The 22725-nt window shown below is 38.1% G+C and overlaps 1 protein-coding gene across 14 annotated transcripts in view, besides 1 other annotated feature; it reads right to left on the bottom strand.

Moving 5' to 3' along the window:
- RBBP8 (RB binding protein 8, endonuclease) overlaps window positions 1-22725 on the bottom strand; it is a 112348-nt gene that overhangs the window by 53065 nt on the left and 36558 nt on the right. For 13 of the 14 annotated variants that reach the window (XM_047437728.1, XM_006722519.3, XM_011526132.3 and 10 more), the window contains one exon: window positions 4504-4616. In XM_047437728.1, the coding sequence (XP_047293684.1) occupies window positions 4504-4616 (113 nt within the window). Of the gene's footprint in view, window positions 1-4503; window positions 4617-16025; window positions 16092-22725 lie in introns of all 14 variants that reach the window. The other variant, XM_047437732.1, reaches the window with a different exon arrangement.
- Window positions 20873-21561: an enhancer, noted in NCBI's record as "NANOG hESC enhancer chr18:20531824-20532512 (GRCh37/hg19 assembly coordinates)". NCBI's record gives its function as "activates a minimal SCP1, AML or CMV promoter by ChIP-STARR-seq in naive H9 embryonic stem cells {active_cell/tissue: H9 hESC(naive)}" and the evidence as "EXISTENCE:reporter gene assay evidence [ECO:0000049][PMID:30033119]".

Below are 22725 nucleotides of genomic sequence, written 5' to 3'. Positions count from 1 at the left end.
AGATGACCTTAGATTTCTGATTAAGATGGTTTACTTGATTTTCCCTCTCCAAATCCAAATAAAATGACAACACTCTAAAATAAGTCTACTGCAGTATTAAAAAGCCAGAAAGGGTGTCACTAACAGATCAGAACTATAAAAAATTTCTGAATTATTTAAAAATAGGCTCAGATTGATGGTAAAATCCAATGAAAAAGGGCCTTTAAAAAAGGGAGTATTCTTAGAAGAATCTCATACCAATTCTAGTATCAGAGGCAACATGGCCCACAAATTGCTAAACGGGTAAATAAAAGGTGCCTAATAGTTGCCCTTAGGCTAAAGTCATGAGGATAGATCTCTAAAAGTTTTGACGTAGGAGTCATTAATAAATACCGAGACAAGAAAATCAGAGCAGTGCTCCCAAGTAATTTATAGTAGACACAAGAAAAGGCGCTTTCACGCTCAGAAGACCAACTATCCATACGGAAAAGCTCTCTAGCAAGGTGTCTTTCCCTCCCATTTTCAGTCATTAGAGTAGGGTCCCTGTAAGATTTATTATCAGCAAAGCAAGGATTCTCCCTTGGGCTAATTGAAAGGTAATTTTACTTAAAGGTAATTTTTTAAAAAAATATCTAGCTTGTAGGGCTAAAAAACCCCAAAACTATACAGAAATGAAATACTGGGCAAGAGCAGAATGTAAGTGGAGAAGATCATCAAAGTTAAGTGCTTTAAAATTCTTATATTATTCGGAAGAGAATTAAGATATTAACTTTAAAAATGCAAAGCGGATCAACCGAGGTTAGGAGTTCGAGGCCAGCCTGGCCAACATGGCAAAACCCCATCTCTACTAAAAATACAAAAATTAGTCGGGCGTGGTCGCACGTGCCTATAATCCCAGCTACTGGGGAGGCTGAGGCAGGAGAATTGCTTGAACCCAGGAGACAGAGGTTGCAGTGAGCCGAGATAGCATCACTGCACTCCAGCCTAGGAGACAGAGCAAGAATCCATCTCTAAAAAAAAAAAAAAAGAAATAAACAAGATTCAAAGCATCCCAGCTAATTCTTTGATTTTTTTTTTTTTTTTTTTTTTGAGAGGGAGTCTCGCTCTGTCGCCGAGGCTGGAATGCAGTGGCGCAATCTTGGCTCACTGCAATCTCTGCCTCCTGGGTTCAAGCAATTCTGTTTCAGCCTTCCGAGTAGCTGGGATTACAGATGCCTGCCACCATGCCCGGCTAATTTTTGTATTTTTTTTAGTAGAGACGGGTTTTCACCATCTTGGCCAGGCTGGTCTTGAACTCCTGACCTTGTGATCCACCCACCTCAGCTTCCCAAAGTGCTGGGATTACAGGCGTGAGCCAACGCGCCTGCCCTAATTCTTTGGATCGTAACAGAACCTTGCTGGCAGAAAAACTGAATGAACAAAATGATGATTTAAATGTATGTTCCCCAATTAAAACATTAACATATCAAGCCTGTCTGTTTTAGAAATTAAACACTGGGGCCAGGCACGGTGGCTCACAACGGTAATCCCAGCACTTTGGGAGGCCGAGGTGAGCGGATCACGAGGTCAGGAGTTCAAGACCAGCCTGGCCAACATAGTGAAACCGCTTCTCTACTAAAAATACAAAAAATTAGCTGGGCGTGGTGGTGGGCGCCTGTAATCCCAGCTACTTGGGAGGTTGAGGCAGGAGAACTGCTTGAACCTGGAAGGCAGAGGTTGCAGTGAGCAGAGATGACGCCACTGCACTCCATCCTAGGTGAAAGTGTGAGACTCCGTCTCAAAAAAAAAAAAAAAAAAAAAAGAAATTAAACATTGGTTCACCCTAGAAAAGCTATCAGTAAAACTTACTACATGAACAGATGCTAAGAGTTTTATAAATTCACAATTAAGCAAAACTTGGCAAAAGAGGTACAGAAAGAAATATCCATAACTTAATTTCACGTATCTACTAGAAGGCCACAGCACACTTAAATGTAATATAGTCTAGTCTTCCCTTATGTATCAACTGCTATTCTGGGCAGTATTCTAAAGCCCCTTAGGCCAATAAAGTATGTAAAGAAAAACAATCACCAAAAGAAACTGTAAAAATAATTGAAAGAAAAGACGAAATTGTCACTATTTGCAAATATTTTTACCTAGACAATCTACAGCAAAATAAAGCTAATGAAAGACCTCAGAAATCCTTAGTCATCTTCCAATGATGGAGTGAGTGGGAGGGTCGGGGTGGTTCCTGGCTAGTGAGACTGAAGCAAAAGTTATTGGGTGGGTGTTCAAAGAAGCTTTTTTTTTTTTTTAAAGACTCTCCTGGCATGCTCATTTCAGCCTTTTGCTGCTGCTTCTTCCTTCTTGTATGAATGCAGTTACGAGGCCTGAAAAAGTACCTGCCATCTTTTGACTGTGAGACAGTAAGCTTGAGGATGAATGCCTGCAAATTCTAAAGATGGTAAATTTCTACTTCACATTCCATGTTAAAAATTCCAGATGGATTAAATATGCAAATTTACGTGTGTGTATTTTTATATTCTTGGGGATAGAGAAAGCCTTCCTAAACAAGGTAAGAAAATATACAAAACTTCCACTTGTCAAGTAGTTATAAAATGAAGTCAACAGGTAATGGCAAAGTAGAAAATATATGCACAGCATATCTACCAAAGTGTAATAATCCTTCCATAATATATAAATAACTCTTAGTTATTCACTAAATTAAAAGATACAAACAGCAAATAGGGCAATTTAAGACTGGGCAAAGAATAAATAAGCCATTCACCCAAGAAGACGATCATATAAAATAATACTTGACTGGAACAGTAACAGGGAATGCCAATTTTAAAAAGGTATCATTCTTCACCCACCAGATTGAATATTATTAATACATTTTTGCCCAAATCTGAAGAGGATGTAAGAAAATAAAAATTCTCAAACATTCAAACAAAAAGTTGAGCAGTCCATTAAAGTGACAATAGCTAAAAAATTGACACCTATACTATGGCATACAATGCAGCCATTTAAAAAAACGTTGTCTTATACTTTAACACCTAGATAAGCTTTTTTGCTTGCTTGGAGTTTTTGGCTCTATTTTAGATAAAGTTGCTGGAAATCTATTAGATATGTAGACATTATTGGAGATTATTTCCAGTAGTACTAACAATAATATTACTGTGGATCTCAACTACAGTTGGCCTTCTATATCTGTGAGTTCTAAATCTGTGGATGGGAAACATTTGGGAAAAAAAAATTCTACAAAGTTCCAAAAAGCAAAACTTGAATTTGCCAGACACCGAATACTACATTTAATTCACACAAATGAAGTGATGCGTAGAGACTGCATTTGGTATTATAAGGAATCTAGAGATGATTTAAAGTATGCAAGAGAATGTGGGTAGGTTATATGCGAATACTATGTGACTTTATATAAGGTACTTGAGCATCCAAGGATTTTGGTATGCGTCAGGGTCCTGGAACCAATACCCTACAGATGACAAGGAACAACTACATATTTATTGAGATGTAACAATTTTCTACTCATTGATAATATTCTTACATTCCTAAATAAATGTATGCACACGTTCACCCATATACACCACAGAATCTATAGACATATTAACATGTAAAGACTTCCAAGACATAGTCTAAAGTGAAGTAACACATTAGAACACAAAGTATGGTATGATAACATTAAAATTCAAAAGAGAAGGGAGGGAAGCGGGGTCTAACAAGGCACAGAGACAGAAAAACCTGGACCTGGACAGATATGTATCAGACTATTAACAGTAGTTACCTCTGGGAGCAGAATAAAGCTATATTCTTTCTTACCTCTTTTAAAAACAATGAGCATATATTCAATATTCTTGCTTGAATAACCACAGGGTAGCAATATAATTAACAGAAAAAAATAAAAGACAGAATTAGTTTGGAAAAGAAGATAATTAATTAGATTTTGAATATATTGATTGTGAGTTGCTTATGGGAAATCCAGGTAATGGTCACCAAAAGAAATAAATAGTTATAAGAGAATAAGGTTAACAGAAGTATTAAAAGAATAAAAGAAGGCGGCTAAGAATGTAGAAAAACTCTACACTCAATAGGTAAGGAGAATAAACTGAAAATAGTATACTTATGAAAACAGTATGTCATAAATACCAAGAGAGAAAACAAGTGTAGAACAATAAATTGTCTGCTTTGTATTTAACTTTACTAAGTATTAAGGTTACATGAAATAAAGATTAAAACCAAAGAAGCAAATATGGACATGTCCAAAAAAAAAAAACACCACCTGCTTCTTGTCTTACAACTGATGACTTAAGACCAATGTGGACAGTATTTGCACAACCTTTTTGTACCCTATTTCTTACTAAATTAAGCATGAGATTAAATCTACAAAAAGTACAAAAAAGGACATTTGAACTTTTACTAAATAAGGAAAAATATATGTAAACCATCCATTTAATTACAACCAATTTACTAATAGGTCTTAAAAATAATACATTACATACTTTAAATAATAAATGAAGAAAGGAAACTCACTAAGTTCTGTAATAAGTTTAAGATTCTGCTGCCGGATATTTTCAAACTCTTGCTGTTTTTTCCGCATATGTTCTTCAGTTACTGCACAGCGATCACATAAGCCTGCTCTTAACCTATGAAACAAAACAAGGTATTTTTCATCCACTAAAAGAGATTTCCTTCTTTGGAATTCCAAGACTTTTATAAAGATTTAAGGAACTGACTTGGCAAATACTGTGAAAATCAACTAGATTAATGATGTTATTATACCTTTAACATATTCTTATATAGGCTGAAATCATGTTATACCACCATTTTCTTCAGATTGCAATTCTATAAAAATCTGCCAATTTTAAACTCATGCTAAGGGAACTTATTTATTGAAGAAGCTGACCTTGTTTTAATTTGTTATGGTCAAAATATGAACCCTAGTCTAATACCAAGGGGTAGAATTATACCTGAAGCAACTTTGCAGCTGCTTTGCTCAGCACAGTATGTCACCCATAGTGAGTGTTCAATAATATTTTTGATGAAAAATTAAATTCATCAAAATTTATTTGCCAATCATTGGCAGGGCACAGTGGCTCATGCCTGTAATCTTAGCCCTCTGGGAGGCTGCGGCGACAGGATCATGAGGTCAGGAGTTCAAGACCAGCCTGGCCAATACAGTAAACACCGTCTCTACTAAAAAATACAAAAATTAGCCAGCTGTGGTGGTGCTCGCTTGTAGTCCCAGCTACTCGGGAGGCTGAGGCAGAAGAATCGCTTGAACCCGGGAGGTGGAGGTTGCAGTGAGCTGAGATCATGCCACTGCACTCCAGCCTGGGGGACAGAGCAAGACTCTGACTCAAAAAAAAAAAAAATTTTTTTTTGTCAATATTGTTGAATAAAGGTCAAGAAATACAAGGGAGAAAAAGTCACCTCATATTTTCCTTTTGGCATTAAAAAAATTATTAGTAAAAATTCACAATGTATTACATAAAAAAAATTACAGGCTGGGCACAGTGGCTCACGCCTGTAATCCCAACACTTTGGGAGGCCGAGGCGGGCGGAACACAAGGTCAGGAGATCGAGACAACCCTGGCTATCACAGTGAAACCCCTGTCTCTACTAAAAATACAAAAAATTAGCTGTGCGTGGTGGCGGGCACCTGTAGTCCCAGCTACTCGGGAGGCTGAGGCAGGAGAATGGCGTGAGCCTGGGAGGCGGAGCTTGCAGTGAGCTGAGATTGCACCACTGCACTCCAGCCTGGGTGACAAAGCGAGACTCCGTCTCAAAAAAAAAAAAAAAAAAATACGAAATAGCTTTTACTAATTATTTGTGACTGTTGAAGAGAAAAACACATATCACACAAGCAGGTGAGGAAGAGTTATATTCCAAAATGTTAATAATAGTTATCTTGTAGGTGACAGTATTATGGGAGATTTTCTCTTCTTCATTTTCCATATTTTTGAAACATTTTCCAATTTCATTATTTACCTAATCAGAAAAAAATACAGTTAAAAAGGAGACACATACCCCACGTTAAGAATTCAGGAAATAAATTCGAAGATAATTGTTTTTTTTTTTTTTTTGAGACGGAGTCCTGCTCTGTCACCCAGGCTGGAGTGCAGTGGCGCAATCTCAGCTCACTGCAAGCTCCGCCTCCTGGGTTCACACCATTCTCCTGCCTCAGTCTCCCGAGTAGCTGGGACTACCGGTGCCCGCCACCTCTCCTGGCTAATTTTTTGTATTTTTCATAGAGATGGGGTTTCACTGAGTTAGCCAGGATGGTCTCGATCTCCCAACCTCGTGATCCGCTTGCTTCCGCCTCCCAAAGTGCTGGGATTACAGGCGTGAGCCGCTGCACCTGGCCCAAAGATAATAATTTCAAGTCAATAACTAAGCCAATAATATAATAAGTATTTAAGTGTTGGCAGAGCATGGTGGCTTACGCCTGTAATCCCAGTACTTTGGGAGGCCGAGGTGGTCAGATCACCTGAGGTCAGGTGTTAAGAGACCAGCCTGGCCAATGTGGCAAAACCTCATCTCTACTAAAAACAAAAATTAGCTGGATGTGGTGGCTCATGCTTGTAATCCCAGCTACTCGGGAGGCTGAGGCAGGATAAATGCTTGAACCCAGGAGGCAGGGATTACAGTAAGCTGAGATAGTGCCATTGCACTCCAGCCTGGGTGACAGAGTAAGACTCTCTCTCTCCAAAAAAAAAAAAAAAAAAAAAAGATAGTAAGTATTTAAGTGTCTGTGGAAGTCACAGCATGGTAGCATATGCCACGAATTTTAAAATAAGTTAGAGATAAAACATGAAAAGTATACAACTAAAGCAAAGCAAAATAAAAGAACATAGACTTTTTTTTTTTTTTTTTAATGAGATGGGGTCTCACTATGTTGCCCAGGCTGGTCTCAAACTCCTGAGCTCAAGTGATCCTCCCACCCTGGCCTCCCAAAGTACTGGGATTACAGGCATGAGTTACCGTGCCTGGCCAGAACCCAGACATTTTATACAAAAGTAAAACTCATATGAAACAATGTTGATATAGATGTAAAATCAAAAGATAGGAAGTCATATGTAGCATTAATAGAATCGGAATTTCTAGAATGAATGAACAAACAGCTAGGCATCATGATTTAAGTGGAATGCAGTCTGAAGACAGGAATTAGATCAGAAGCCTTAAAATCACACTGTATAAAGAACACCACTTAACTAAAGATGGTAAAGTCAACACTTGCAACTATTTCTGCTCCTTTCTAGAATCTCATAAAATTACAGTAAAGATATATCTATATTTTAAAGATACAAACACATGAGGACAAGAAGAATGGAAGAGAAAACAAAACAAAAAAACGAAAGCAAGGCAGCTGGTGGGCAAATAGAAAGTGACCTGAGAATGCTAAATCATAAGCCAATGATAGGAAAAGCTGAGAATTGCATTGTCCAGGATGGTAGACACAGACACATGTGGCTATTTCAATTTAAATAAATAAAATAAAAATAAAAACTGAGCTTCTCAGTTGCAGACAAGTGCTCAGCAGCCACATGTCTACTTGCTACCATATTGAACAGTGCAGATTTAGAACAATTTCCACGATCACAGAAAATGCTATTAGACAGTACTGACCTAGAACCAACCTGATTCACACTGTAAAATTCCCAAAAGGCTCAACAATTGGTTCTGGGAGTGACTGATTAAAAGCACGTTTTAAGAAATTATTATACGAACATTCTCTCCTATATTCTGAGCAGTCAAGTGATTACCCCTTTGACATCCCAGCAGCAGACTGGAGGTTTAATGCTTAGACAATCTAAAACAGAGAGTGTCTGGTCTGGGAGCCATGAGGCTCAGTTAGGAGTAGGAGTACAATAATGAAATGAATATATATACACACCAAATTCTCAGATTCCAGCCTAGGCCCTCGTCATCTACTTGGCTCCAAGAACACTGGGAGTCAGCCCTATTACACATTCTAGAAAATAGAATTAAGGAGTCTTCTTTAGGAAATCTGACCAACCTGACAGGAAAGACCTAAAGGTACTGACATTAGGGCATCTTCGAGGAAACAGACCAGCCAGATCATTCTAACAGAGAAGCTCACAGTCTACAGCTCTACCCATGCACTCAGAGCTTCCAATTACTTTATTCTCATCTCTTAAATATAACAAATAACCAAGTATCAAAAGGCATCTGAGAAATGCTTATAAATTATAAGAAACCATAGCAAACAAAACATTAAAAAAAGAAATAAAAAATCTGGAAGAAATAATAAGCTATACAGAAAGAAAAAGAAAAAATGCCAATGCTATCACAGTCACAATCATCAAATTATGAAGAATACAGTAAGCCTTCACTTAACATCATTGATAGGTTCTTGGAAACTGTGACTTTAAGTCAAATGATGTATAAGCAAGCTAATTTTTCCCCCTCACTGTTAAAAAGAAATGATGTCAAAGGAAAGGATGTTATTTGAAGGCTGCTGTAGGTCATTTCTTTTAAAGTCATAGTTTCCAAGAACCTATCTACAATGTTAAGTGAGGACATACTATATTCTAGAGGTAAGAAATGATGTGAAAACTATAAAATGAGAATGGGATTGCCATAAAAGGAAATATTCTGAGAACAAAAAAGAGACTTTAGAAATTAAAAATAGTATCCAGGTGTGGCAGCCCATGCCTGTAATCCCAGCATTTTTGGGGGCTGAAGCAAAAAAGAATTAATTGCTTGAGGCCAGATGAAGACCAGCACAGGCAACATAGTCAGATCCTGTCACTATTTAAACAAAAACCAAAATAAAATAAAATAAAATAAAATAAAAATTAAAAATTAAAAATATTAAGAAAGAACTACAAATAGAAGGTAAGAAAGTAAAGCTAAGAAAATCTACTCAAAAAGTAAAGAGAAAATTTAGATAAAACTGGGCAATTATTCTAGAAGGTCTATCATATAAAGAATAGGAGTTCCAGGAAAAGCAAGGAAACGCAGGAGGGGATTTGAGGCAGTGTGGGGAATAGTGAAGAAAATCAAGAACATGGCCCACTACTTAAAGGACTGAAAAGAAAAAAAAAAAAAAAACCTAAGTCTCCAGCACAATGGATGTTAACAGATCTATACAAAAGAACTCATCATTATGGAATTTCTGGATGCTGCAAAGATAAGAGCCCATAAGCGTTCAGAAGAAATTTTTTTCTTTTTAAAGAGTACACAGAAAAGATAAAAAATCAGAATAGAGATGGGAGGATCGCTTGAGGCCAGGAGTTCTAGACAAGCCTGGTCAACATGAGATCCCATCTCAAAAACAAACAAAGACTAACAGCACTGTTTTGGTGGGGATTGTGGGGGAAAAAAGAAAACTCAGAATAGTGTGGGATTTCAACAGCAACATTAGAAGCTAAAAGAAGTGACTTGGAATTCTGAAAGAGAATTATTTCCAACCTAAACCTATATTCTCCAACTATTATTTCAACAAAAATTTTCAGACATGTAAAAATCTCAAAAATTTTGCTTCCTATCATTAATTTTTTTTAAGCATGACAATGGTACTCTTTTTTTGAGACAAGGTCTCAAAATGGTAGTGAGAGGGACTAATCGAAATAAAGTGAAACAAGAATGGCCACAATTAACTGCTGAAACCAAGTGATGGGTACAACGGAATTGGTTATACTACTATGTCTACTTTTATATATGTGTGATTTTCTAAAATAAACTTTTTTTAGGTCTCATACACTCCGTCTCAGAAATCTACTGGAGGAGGCATTCTACCAAAATAAGAAAAAATAGAAAAGAAGTCCTAGATATATGAAAAAGGAAAGCAGTAAAAGGAACCTCTGATGACCACTACGTAGCAGGTAAAGAGGACAGAGTCCAAATTGAAGCAGATCAGAGCCTCTGAGACAGATCTGTTTGAAAAGGTGAAATGACAGAAGATACAACCCATCTAAACACCTTGATACATTTAGATAAATGATAGAACGTTGTGGTTGAACTAGTGGTTGGTAAGAACACTAAGCATATGAAAAAAAGGTCCATCATAAACACTATGGACAACAGAAATTTGCATAGGAAGAAAAATTACAGTTTACAATATGTTTCAGCTTTGAACTGCATTTACATAATCATAAAATAAAAACTCAATAGTGATCTAACCAAAATTATTATACACTACATAGGAGGAAGAGGGAAATGGGAATGGCGTCTATGTAGAAAGCAGAAAAAAGAAAAAAAAACACCTAAGTCAAGAAAAATTTATAGATAGCTCATAAACATTTTTAAAAAGAGATTTTTGAAGTAAACAGCAAAACAATATGAAGAATTGAAAATGACTGCTTCTGAAGAAGGGGAAATTGGAAAGAAGGAGAACTTAATTATGTTTGTTGATCTCCTACTCTGAATAAATGTCTGTTCTTTTGGCTGAAATTATAAAGATGAGAAAGATCAGTACAATTGTTTGACTTGGAATCTGGTAGAAGAGACACAATAAAAAATAGACAAAAAAAAGGGAAAGTAAAGTAAGTTGTATAGCGTATTAGAAGGTGGTATGTACTTTGGGGCTGGGTGCGGTGGCTCATGCCTGTAACTCCAGTACTTTGGGAGGCTGAGGCACGTGGATCACTTGAGGCCAGGAGTTCGAGACCAGCCTGGCCAACATGGTGAAACCCTGTCCGTACGAAAAATATCAGAAAAATTAGCTGGACATGGTGGCACACACCTGTAGTCCCAGCTACTAGGGAGGTTGAGGTAGGGGGGGTGGAGAGGAGGGGGTGTGTATGTGTGTGAGCTCGGGGGGATCACTTGAACCCGAGAGGTGGAGGTTGCAGTGAGCCAAGATTATGCCACTGCACTCCAGCTTGGGCGACAGAGTGAGTGAGACTCTGTCTCAAAAAAAGAAAAAGGAAAAAAAAACAAGGTGATACGTGCTTTGGGAGGAAACAAATCACAGAGGGAGATAGAAGATCCAGTTAGGTTGGGGAACTTGGTGCAATTTTAAATAGGCTATTGAAGAAAAACTTCACTGTGAAGTTAACATTTGCGAGGAGATGTAAATGATGAGAGGGAGTGAGTTTTAAGAATACCTGCAAGAGACTGTTACAGGTGAATGAGGATAGAGTACAAAATTCCTACAGTTGAAAAGTGCCTGGACTATTAAAGAAATGTCAAGGAGGCCAGTATAACTTCAGTAGAGTAAAGCAAAGAGGAAAATCAGCAGGAGAAAAAAAAAAGTCAGAAGGGTACTGAGGGCTGACAGCTGTCTAAATATCTGAAAAGTTAATCATGTGAAAGAGATTTATGATCTAAAGGACTAAAACTAGGACCAATGGGCAGCAATTCTACAGATATAAACCTAGTATAAAGAAAACTTTCCAATTACAGTATTTAAGGATGGAATGTGTTACCTAAGAAGGGAGTGATTTCATTTGTCACTGGACATGTTTAAGCACAGAAAAGACGATCACTCAGAAATTAGGAAGGTAATTTTAAACACATGTTGAATAGATAGTTAGATCAGTGGTCCCTAAACCTGGCTATTTCTCAAAACCACCTAAGCAGATTTAAAAGGGAGGGAGGGAGAAAGAGAGGAAAAAGATTTGTAAGTCTACCCATGATCAACTGAATTAGAATCTGCAGGGACGGGGCCCGGGAATCTGCTCAGAAGCTTCTCTTCACAGATTGATCCTTAAAGCTTTAGAACGGGGTGTCCAATCTTTTGGCTTCCCTGGAAGAACTGTCTTGGGCCCACATACACTAACACTAATGATAGCTGATGAGCTTAAAAAATAAAAGTCAAACAAATTTCATAATGTTTTAAGAAAGTTTACAAATTTGTGTTGGGCTGCATTCAAAGCTGTCCTGGGCCACATGCAGCCCGCAGGTCGTGGGTTAGACAAGCTTGCTTTAGAATAAGGCACTCTCATCTTCTCCTACCTATGTTCTTTTCATGTCTTATCCTTATATTGAGCCATTTTGTTAACAGTGAAAATCTAATGCCTGAGTACTTAAAATATACACACTTGCCCTACCACTCACTCTGGGGTGTAAGAAGTATGGTATGCCTTGAACCTATGGAGCCATCCATGGCTTGCAATAAGTTTCATCATCAGCACTCATTACATGCTTAGCTTTCCTACCTGTATAGCTGGGCCCCCAGCTCTTCCACTCATGCTTGGCTTTTAAGTCTGGCTTAAACTCACAGCTAAGAGAAGGGTTAAACAAGGCTAACAGGCATCTGATATTGATGCTGATCTCCCAGCTACACATGCAAGTTTTTCTTTTTTGTCATTCGCTTTTCCTTATTTCTTGCTGATTACTGGTCACATACATATAATGCTTTTTACAAGTTAAACTAGGAGCTAGTACAACTTTAATTAAACAAACAAAAATGATTAGGTCTGTTGGAACTGTTCCTATTTACCAATAATCTTTACAATTTTGAAAAATCATGTCACTGACGAAAAATGCAGTTAGTGTTACTTGAATCATCAATAAACATACTTGTATCAGTCACATTAATGATCATTTTATACAAAGGAACGAGTATCTCAACAACTCATCTTTTAGAACAGACATACCCGTAATATTTACTTTCTGATATACTACAAATCAATTTTCTCTATATAGTTGTGATATTTAAAAAATAATTATGTATGTAGGTAGGTTATATTATTTAAATTTCATTTCAGGATACTAAAAATTACATTATAAAAAATTTTTATAGGCCAGGCACAGTGGCTCACTCCTATAATCTTAGCACTTTGGGAGGCTGAGGCAGGAGAATCTGCAGTGAGCTATTATTGCACTACTGCGCCCCAGCTTGGATGACTGAACGAGACTGTCAGAAGAAAAAAACTTTTTTTTTATAAAGGGAGACTGTAATATAAGCATTGATAATCATTTGTCTTTTTTGTTGAGACAGGGTCTTGCTCTTTCGCCCAGGCTGGAGTGCAGTGGCATGATCACTGCTCACTGCTGCCTTGACTTCCTGGGCTCAAGTGATCCTCCCACCTCAGCAGCCTGAGTAGCTGGGACTACAGGCACTCACCACCATGCTGGGTAATTTTGTACTTTTAGAGACAGGGTTTTGCCACGTTGCCCCGGCTGGTCTCAAACTTTTGGGCTAAAGCGATCTGCCTACTTGGCCTCCCATGCTGGGAATACAGGTGTGAGCCAATGCACCAGCCTCTGTACACTTTAAGTTGGTAAACTGTATGTTATGAGAATTTTATCTCAATAAAGTTGTTTTTTAAAAAATAGTAAAGTTCGGCCAGGTGTGGTGGCTCATGCCTGTAATCCCAGCACTTTGGGAGGCCGAGGTGGGCGGATCACAAGGTCAGGAGGTTGAGACCATCCTGGCTAACACGGTAAAACCCCGTCTCTACGAAAAAATATAAAAAAGTTAGTTGGGCGTGGTGGCGGGTGCCTGTAGTCCCAGCTACTCGGGAGGCTGAGGCAGGAGAATGGTGTGAACCTGGGAGGCGGAGCTTGCAGTGAGCTGAGATTGCACCACTGTACTCCAGCGTGTGTGACAGAGCGAGACTCTGTCTCAAAACAACAACCACCACCAAAAAAAAAAAAAAAAAAAAAGAAAGTTCATCTTATATAGATTTTTACCACACAAAAAGACCTTGAGGGGGAAAAGCAAAAGCTATCTAGCATTCCTGGAAAAATCTGGGAAATGATACAGCCATAAAACAAGAGTATACACACACACACACACAAACACACACACACATATAAATATACAGCAACAATCAACAAATAATAAAAAGTTCTTGGATATTACGTACGTGATTGTCAAAATAACTTCAATAGTAGGGTTGGAGAATAAAAGAAATCTCACAGAACATGGAAGAAAAACAAGTAATAGAAAATAAGAGAAAAGATGATAAAAAATCAGTCTCTGACTAAGAAGTGCTCCAGAAAGAGAGACCATTAAAAAATAGAGAAAGTGGCAGAAAAAAATTACCAGACTTTGAGTGCTAGTTTTTAGGTTAACAGGTTGAGTGTCCAGTGCAATGAAGGAAACACACACACACAGAGCATCACGAAGGTTGATCAGAACAAGGAAAAATTTCAGAAAGGAAAAGAAAATCTGTTACCTACAAAAGAATTAACACGAGAATGGCAGACTGTATCAGTACTGGAATGCTAACAATGAGAAATGCCTTCAAAGTTTTCAGGGAAAACTATTTTAAACCTAGAAATTTATATCCAGTCAAAATATCAACTATATAATAAACAGTAGAATAAAAATATTTTCGAGAATGCAAGGACCCTTTGAAAATTTAGTTCCTGTGCCTTCTTTTTCAGCAGTTACTTGAGGGTAAGCTGTAACAAAATGAGCTTAAAAAACCAATAGAAAGGCCCACATTTATCGATCACATTCACTGGTGTATCCCCAAGGTCTAAAACAGTGCCTGGAACAAAACAGGTGGTTCATTAAGTATTTGTTGACTGTTTAACATGAGAGAAATGAAATAACTGAATTAATGCAGGGATCTAATGAAGAGAAATCCAGAATGACAGCTTTCTAGAATAGTCTAGAAAGTGAATGACCTAAATTAGTACAAGAAGTTTTTTAGCCCAAGAAATATTTCTTCAAGAAAAAGAACTGGCTGAGCACAGTGGCTCATGCCTATAATCTCAGTACTCTGGGAGGCTGAGGTGGGAGGATGGTCTGAGCCTAGGAGTTCAAGACAAGCCTGGGCAACATAGGAGGACCTTGTCTCTATAAAAAAATCAGAAAATTAGTCAGGTGTAGTGTTATGTGTAGTCCCAGCTACTCTAAGGCTGAGGTGTGAGGATCACTTGGGCCTGGGAGGTAGATGCTGAAGTGAGCCAAGGTCGCGCCACTGCACTCCAGCAGAGCGAGACCCTGCCTCAAAACAAACAAACAAAACCTACAACAAAAAAAAATTAATGAATGAGTAGAATAACTAAGGCATTAAATAATATTAATGATGTAAGGAAACATGGTTCTTGTCTCAACATGAAAAAGGGTAGTGAGAAATTCTAGAAAAAAACATTTAAATAAGTCATTATCATAACATAATTATGAGCTGATTTGAACAACTGATTGGGGACAAAGTAAAAAACAATGTATTTCATCTGGACATTAGAAACAATTTCCCTCAGTGGCAGAAAGGCCATGACATCAGATACGTAAAGAAATGCAATCCTAGCTCTGCAGTGAATATTTATACAGTCAATAAATAAACTCAGTTTACTATTTTCCAACTTCTAGAATCAGCTTATAAACAAAATACAAAAAAGACTGAAATCTGGTAATAGAAAAGAAGATAACTATTGTCAACCTTGACCATATTTATATCGTAAAGGTTCAGCTCATCAAAGGCAGATGGTAGAAAGAGCGGAAAAGTGATAGAGGAAAGGGTAAGAAACACCAGTATCTTCCTGTAACATAATGGTAAGAACAGGGAAACTGTTCACAGGTGAAGCAATATAAAACAAAGACCTAAATATATATATTAAGGTTGAAAGGTAAAATAGAAGAGCTAAAACAATAACTTTTCAAATACAGGAGAGGGATTTTTAAAATATCACTGGCTAGATGGTTACAAAATGAAACAAAATGAAGCAATATTCCCTAGCTTATTACTTTCAGTTTTTCTTATCACCTACCATTCTTGATAATAGTATCTGTGAAAAAGGGTCAATTTTTGATTGCTGATCCTAGTTTAAATTTAAATAGAAGCAAGAAAATGTGCTAGCTCCTGTTTCCATCAGCATGGTTCCATTGCTTTCCTCTTGCCTATCTTCCACTGCTGCTGCTAAAGAAAAAACACTCCCAATTTCACAAGAGAATGCAGTTTCAGTAGCTATGTAACAGGTAAAGGGAAAAAAGGGCAATTCCACAAAAGGCAGAAAGCAACATGCATTCTGAGTTTATTCCAGTTCACAAAGATGAAGAAATAAAAGCTTCCATTTGCTACTAAAACTTATCAGAGTAACAATTATGCTCAATTGTTTGCTATAGCCCAAAAAGATTTATTGACATTTATTCATTTTCATTCAATATGGTTTCACTGTTTACTTACAATGTGCTCAGTGCTGTAAATACAACAGAGATGAAGGTAATGCCATTTCTTTAAAAAGCTTATAGTCTACCAGAGAAAGACAGGCAAAAAAAAAAAAAAAAAAAAGAAAAAGTAATTACAACAAAGTATAATTCATACTGTGACAGCAGAAATACAGAGTACTATGAAAGCACACAGCAACTTAACCTAGTCTAGCAAGTTAGAGAAAGTCTCCTGAATAATATGATGTTTAAATTCAAATCTATGAATAACAGCAACACAAAAGCGGACACTTGCTTCAGTGTTTGAAAAATAGTTGCAGAACCATACATCTCCTGATTATAAGTATCAATTTTCCTTTTAACAGCATCTGAAAATGAGCTCACTGACTGCCAAAATGCTTTAAAAAATATTAAACTCTATTAGACAACTGTGTTTTAACTTCTTTGTTCAGATTTTCAAAAAAAATGCGTTCTATCTACTTCTCCAGCACAGTGACTGTTTCTTAGATTTAGTGAAATACTTTAGTTCCTGGAAGGAAAGTCTGTAAATATACTCATTAAACATAATAATAATTATTAAACATAATATAAAACATAATAATCATTAAACATAAATGAGCCACATAAAATTAGAACTTAGAACTTTTTATTATCTAATTTACTTTTACTAGGTAATTCCCTTCATTGAAATATCTCAGTGTTTTCCCATTAACATACTAAGAATTGCTTTGTTTTATGAAGAGTAGGCTGAATTACTGTTCAGAAATTTTAACAAAATAGGCTGAACACAGTGGCTGATGCCTGTAATCCCAATACCGTGGAAGGCCAAGGCAGGAGGATCACTTGAGGCCAGGAGTTCAAGACCAGCCTATGATCAACGCAGCAAGACAGTCTCTATAAAAACAAAAAAATTAGCCAGGCATGGCGTGGTGCTTGCCTGTAGTCCTAGCTACCTGGGGGGGCTGATGTGAGAAGATCTCTTGAGCCAAGGAATTTGAGGCTGTAATGAGCTATGATGGTGCCATTACACTCCAGCCTGGGCAACAGAGTAAGACCCTGTCTCTAAACAAAACAAAACAAAACAAAAAGACCAAACAAAAGAAAAAAAAATTAACAAAATACATGTTGCTTTTAAAGGTCTCAGCAAAATGTTAGTTTGTACAGATTTTTAAAGCTTACTCTAGATAATCATTCTTACATATGACATAGAACTAAAAGAAAATTTTAAATAAAGCAGAAATTCACCAAAAGTTACCTACTTAGTCCTTTAAAGGTAGTATTTAGTTAGCAACAATTAAAAAAACAAAAACGAAAAAAAAACCTTCCAAGGAAACAGACTATACAATAGGCAATGTTGAAGACCTGATATTTCAGAGTGTCTGTTTTGGTAAACTTTAGATCAAGCACAAATACTTTGAGATGATCATTTAAGATGTAATTAATTTATATAACATTAATAAAGTTAAGACAATATAAAGGGGAGGCATCATGAAATAGTAAAAATGGAAGCGGGGATCAGATTTAAGATATAAACCTGGCCAGGCGCGGTGGCTCACACCTGTAATCCCAGCACTTTGGGAGGCCCAGGTGGGCAGATCACGAGGTCAGGAGATCGAGGCCATCCTGGCGAACACAGTGAAAACCCGTCTCTACTAAAAATACAAAAAAAAATTAGCCGGGCGAGGCAGTGGGCGCCTGTAGTCCCAGCCACTCGGGAGGCTGAGGCAGGAGAATGGCGTGAACCTGGCAGGCGGAGCTTGCAGTGAGCAGAGATCGCGCCACTGCACTCCAGCCTGGGTGACAGAGCAAGACTCTGTCTCAAAAAAAAAAAAAAAAGATATAAACCTAATTATGTATTAACTATGTGATCCTGGGAAAGCTTCTTTGCTCTTTGCCAGCTAGTTTCCTCACATGCAAAATGGATCTATCATCTATCCTGTAGCGTTAATAGAAAGATTTAGCGCTGGATGCCTAAGTACAAAGTGAATCCTCAATACATACTAACTACTGTATTTAAAAAAACAGATCTTCAGCTTAATTAAATGGAGCTTCATGAAACAAGAGATAAATCTTTAAGTGTGCCCACAGGAAATTTTGGATTTGCATTTGAAGAAAGGTGAGCAAAAGCAAGTCTACAAAACAACGAGCTACATATCCCTCATCCCACCCCGACTCCCTGCCACCAAATTAATACCACCTAATGAATTACAGGCCCATGTACCTGAGGATGTAAAGGTGAATGGAATGAAAGGCAAGGGAATATTTAGAATGAGAAATACCAAAGCAGCATGGCATCCACCAGAGGTAGAATAGATCTTAAAGAGAAAAGAACCTAGTTTTAAGAAATGCAGAATAAAACACATAATTTTAACAATTAAATGTATCAACTGGCTGCGCACAGTGGCTTATGCCTACAATACCAGCGCTTTGGGAGGATGAGGTGGGAGAACTGCTTGAAATCAGGAGGGAGGGATCTGGTAGGAGGTAACTGAATCATGGGGGCAGTTAACGCTATGCTGCTGTTCTCTTGATAGTGAGTTCTAACGAGATCTGATGGTTTCATAAGGGGCTTTTCCCCCTTTTGCTTGGCACTTCCTCCTGCCATCATGTGAAGAAGGACGTGTTTACTCCCCCTTCGCCATGATTGTAAGTTTTCTGAGGCCTCCCCAACCATGTGGAACTGTGTGGGAGGGAAATGTTGGGTTGGAGCCTCCACACAGTCCCCACTGGGACACTGTCTAGTGGAGCTGTAATAAGACGGCCATCATCCTCCAGACCCCAGAAACACCCAGATCCACCAACAGCTTGCACTGTGCACCTGGAAAAGCCGCAAACACTCAATGCCAGCCTGTGAAGGAAGCTGGGAATGGGGCTGTACCCTGCAAAATCACAGGGGCAGAGCTGCCCAAGACTGTGGGAACCCACCTCTTGTATCAGCATGACCTGGATGTGAGACATGGAGTCAAAGGGGATCATTTTGGAGTTTTAAAATTTGACTGCCCTGCTGGATTTTGGATTTGCATGGGGCCTGCAGCCCCTTTGTTTTGGCCAATTTCTCCCATTTGGAATGGGTGTATTTACCCAATGCCTGTATCCCCACTGTATCTACGAGGTAACTAACTTGCTTTTGATTTTACAGGCTCACAGGCGGAAGGAACTTGCCTTGTCTCAGATGAGACTTTGGACTTGGACTTTTGGGTTAATGCTGTAATGAGTTAAGATTCTAGGCGACTGTGGGGAAGGCAATGATTGTCTTGAAATGCGAGGACATGAGATTTGGAAGGGGCAAGGAGTGGAATGATATGATTTGGCTGTGTCCCCACCCAAATCTCAACTTGAATTGTAGTTCCCACAGTCCCAACTGTGGGAAGTAATTGAATCATGGGGGTGGTTACCCCCATGCTTCTGTTCTTGTGGATAGTGAGTGAGTTCTCATGAGATCTGATGGTTTTATAAGGGGCTTATCCCCCTTTTGCTTGGCACTTCTTCCTGCCATCATGTGAAAAAGGATGTGTTTGCTTCCCTTTCTGCCATGATTGTAAGTTTCCTGAGGCCTCCCCAGCTCTGCAGAACTGTGAGTCAACTAAACCACCTTTCTTTATAAACTACCCAATCTCAGGCAGTCCTTTAAATCAGCGTGAAAATGGACTAATACAGGGAAAAATAAAAATAAAAAAAAAATATATAGACTACATAAAAGAAAGTAATTTAATGGGAAGGAGATGAGGCACTCATCCACTGATTTCTTCTCTGAAACGGCCTGGAGAAGAAAAACTACTTAAAAAGGAAGTACAAGACTGCAAAGGTTACCAGAACAGGAAGCTCAAACTTTAAGCCATAAAATGAAGAGTGTTTTGAAGACACTGGAAAGCAATGTCTTCAAGGGGCAGGATGAAGAATACTATCTTGGGGATGAAATGGAGAGCCAATTGTATTAAGCCAATGTTTCAAGAAAAACATAATGAAAATGTTATCCAGTAAATTTGAGTGTAATAATTTTGGGCTCTAACAACTTGCTAAGGAACAACTAAACAGGAAGAGTACTGGAAGTCAATATAAGTTGGCCAGTCATCTTACTGTCTCCTACCACAGTAGGAGAATAAAATCCCTGGCTCCACCTTCTGTGCTGTGAAATCCTTCACCTGTTTCCACATAGGTGAATACACCAGGCATCCCATAGTCAGATCCTGCTATAAATGAGGAAAGCAGGGCAACTATGGCTCCAGGACTCCCTGTTAGCTTTGTCAAAGCTCTCTTACAAGTACAGTATCCTCTTCCCTCTCTTCTTCACAGAGTTAGAGGCATGAGGGTCTGACAGCTCTCCCAGACGCCTCATTTCTTACAGGTATTTTTCCCAATAAATCTCTTCAGTGTCCAAAGTCTTATTGATGTTTGCTTCTCAGAGAACTCAGGCTAACATATTTCGTTATTAATACCAATCTTGAAATTTTCTTTACATAGGAATGATGGAACAAAAAGCATTCCTAATCTCTTGGCGTTAATGCCATTACTCACTCCAACCTCACTGCTTGTAGAAAGTGGTGTAATGGTAGAAATGAGAGAAAAAACGTGGTGAAATAAGAGAAGGAAGCTCTTCAATGGCTGGAGTTAAAGGCTGAGAGAGATATGTTCCCTGAAATCCTCTACTACATATCCAGAGAAAACAGAAGGAAGCGCCTCACCACACTACAGATGAGTAACTAATGATTTCCTTTCCATTGCTGACCTGGGAAAGGGTGAGTGGGAGAGATGGCTTTCTAGTTTCCTGGCTTCTCAGCTAGACAGCCTAGACATGGCTGTGTTATATAACACAGATTAGAGTGCTAAAAGTTGGAATCATCTTCCAATTAGGAGATAGTATATGTCTTATTAAATATCTGTTATGTACTGCTGCTTCCATTATCTCATTTAAACTTCAAAATAGCCCTGCAAAGAAGGTATTGTTAGTGGTCAAGACCTATGTTCCTGGCTTTTCTTCTATTTTAATAGTTTCTCTTTCTCAATCTTTTGCTGGCTGGGTCCTTATTCTTCATGAAACCTTAATCAGGAATGCCAAAGGATTCAGCCCTAAGACCTCTTCTTTCTTCCTATACTATTCAAAGATGTCCTTAAGAGATCCACTGAATCCTAGATTCACATATACATCTATCTACTTGACATTTCCATTTGGATAGACAGGCTGTTGCTACCTACTTATATCCCTTTGTTATTCTCCTGCTTAAGTGGTTTCCATCACAATTAAAATCCAAACTTTTTGCCTATGTCCCTACGAAATCTAGTTGTTGCCCCACTAGATTTCCAATCTCACTCCTATCACTCATCCCCTTTACTCATTAAACTAGAACCACAGTAGACTTTCTGTTCCTCAAATATTTCAAACTTATTTCTACCCTAGACTTTCACATTTGTCTGTTCTATTTCCTTTTGTCTCTAGTTCTTCAAGTGGATGGTTCCTTTCTGTCAATCAAGTCTCAGTTAAGACAGCACCCCAACTCCATGGTGACAGAAGCTCCTGTGTTTAGGATCCTTCTAGACCTCACCCCATGTATCTCTTCATTTGGCTGTTGACTTGTAACCTTTAACAAATTTTTTGTAATAAACTGATAAATATAAATGTTTTCCTGAGTTTCGTGAGTCACTCTAGTAAATATAACCCGAGGAGGGGGTTGTGGGAACCCCAATTTAGAGTCTGTCCAAAGCATGGGTAAACAACCTGGGGCTTGAAATTGGCATCAGAATTGAGGGAAGGACACAGTCATGGGGACAAAGCCCTCAACCTGTGGGACCTGATGCCATATCCAGTGTAGGAATTGAATTAAGAGGATACCCAGCTAGTGTCTGCTGTAGAATTAATTGTTTGCTTGTTGGTAGGGGAAACTCCTCCTCACATCTGGTGTCTGAAGCATGTTGTACGAGTACAGTGGGAAAAGCTGCGTTTGGTTTTTTTTTCTACACAGATCCTGTGGTTACTCAATTACATAATTCGATTTTATTTTCTTCATAGCATTTATAATCTGAAATTGTCTCATTTGTTTGTCGTATGGCTCACTCCCAACCTTTGAAAATTAAATATATGCACAGACAGGAGTGCTAAATTATATTCACCAACTAAGATATGTAAGTCTTATTCAACTTCTGTTATGTATTGTTACTTGCACTGTCTCATTTAATCCATGACATACTAGGAAAAGTATCATCCCTAGCCCCCTAGAGCAACACCTAAGACAGCAAGGACTCAAATATTTGTTGTGGAATCTGAATTAAGAACACAGGGTGAAGCTGGAATTCAAAAACATATGTGATTCTAAAGCGCACAGGTCTTTATTCCACAATACACTGCCTATTCCAACAAATGTGCATCCATTGAGTTGGTAGTTGTAGAAAGTACTCAATTTCAGTTTGCACATATGAAGAATATTAAATTATTTCACCACTAAAAGGATAGAGACAAACTCAAATCACCCAGCCCTTCCGTAACATATACAAAAATATCAAGAAAAAAATTTTTTTAAGAGACAGGGTCTTGTTCTGTTACACAGGCTGGAGTGCAATGGCACAATCATAGCTTGCTCAAACTCCTGGACTCAAGCAATCCTCCCGTCTCAGTGTCCTGAGTAGCTAGGACTCCAGTCACATGCCTGGCTAATTTTTAATTTTTTGTAGAGATGAGTTCTTGCTATACTGCGACGCTGGTTTTGAACTACTGGACTCAAGCAATC

The sequence above is a fragment of the Homo sapiens genome, chromosome 18, assembly GCF_000001405.40.
Source record: "Homo sapiens chromosome 18, GRCh38.p14 Primary Assembly".
Taxonomy (NCBI): domain Eukaryota; kingdom Metazoa; phylum Chordata; class Mammalia; order Primates; family Hominidae; genus Homo; species Homo sapiens.
This window is presented reverse-complemented; position numbering and strand designations above follow the sequence as displayed.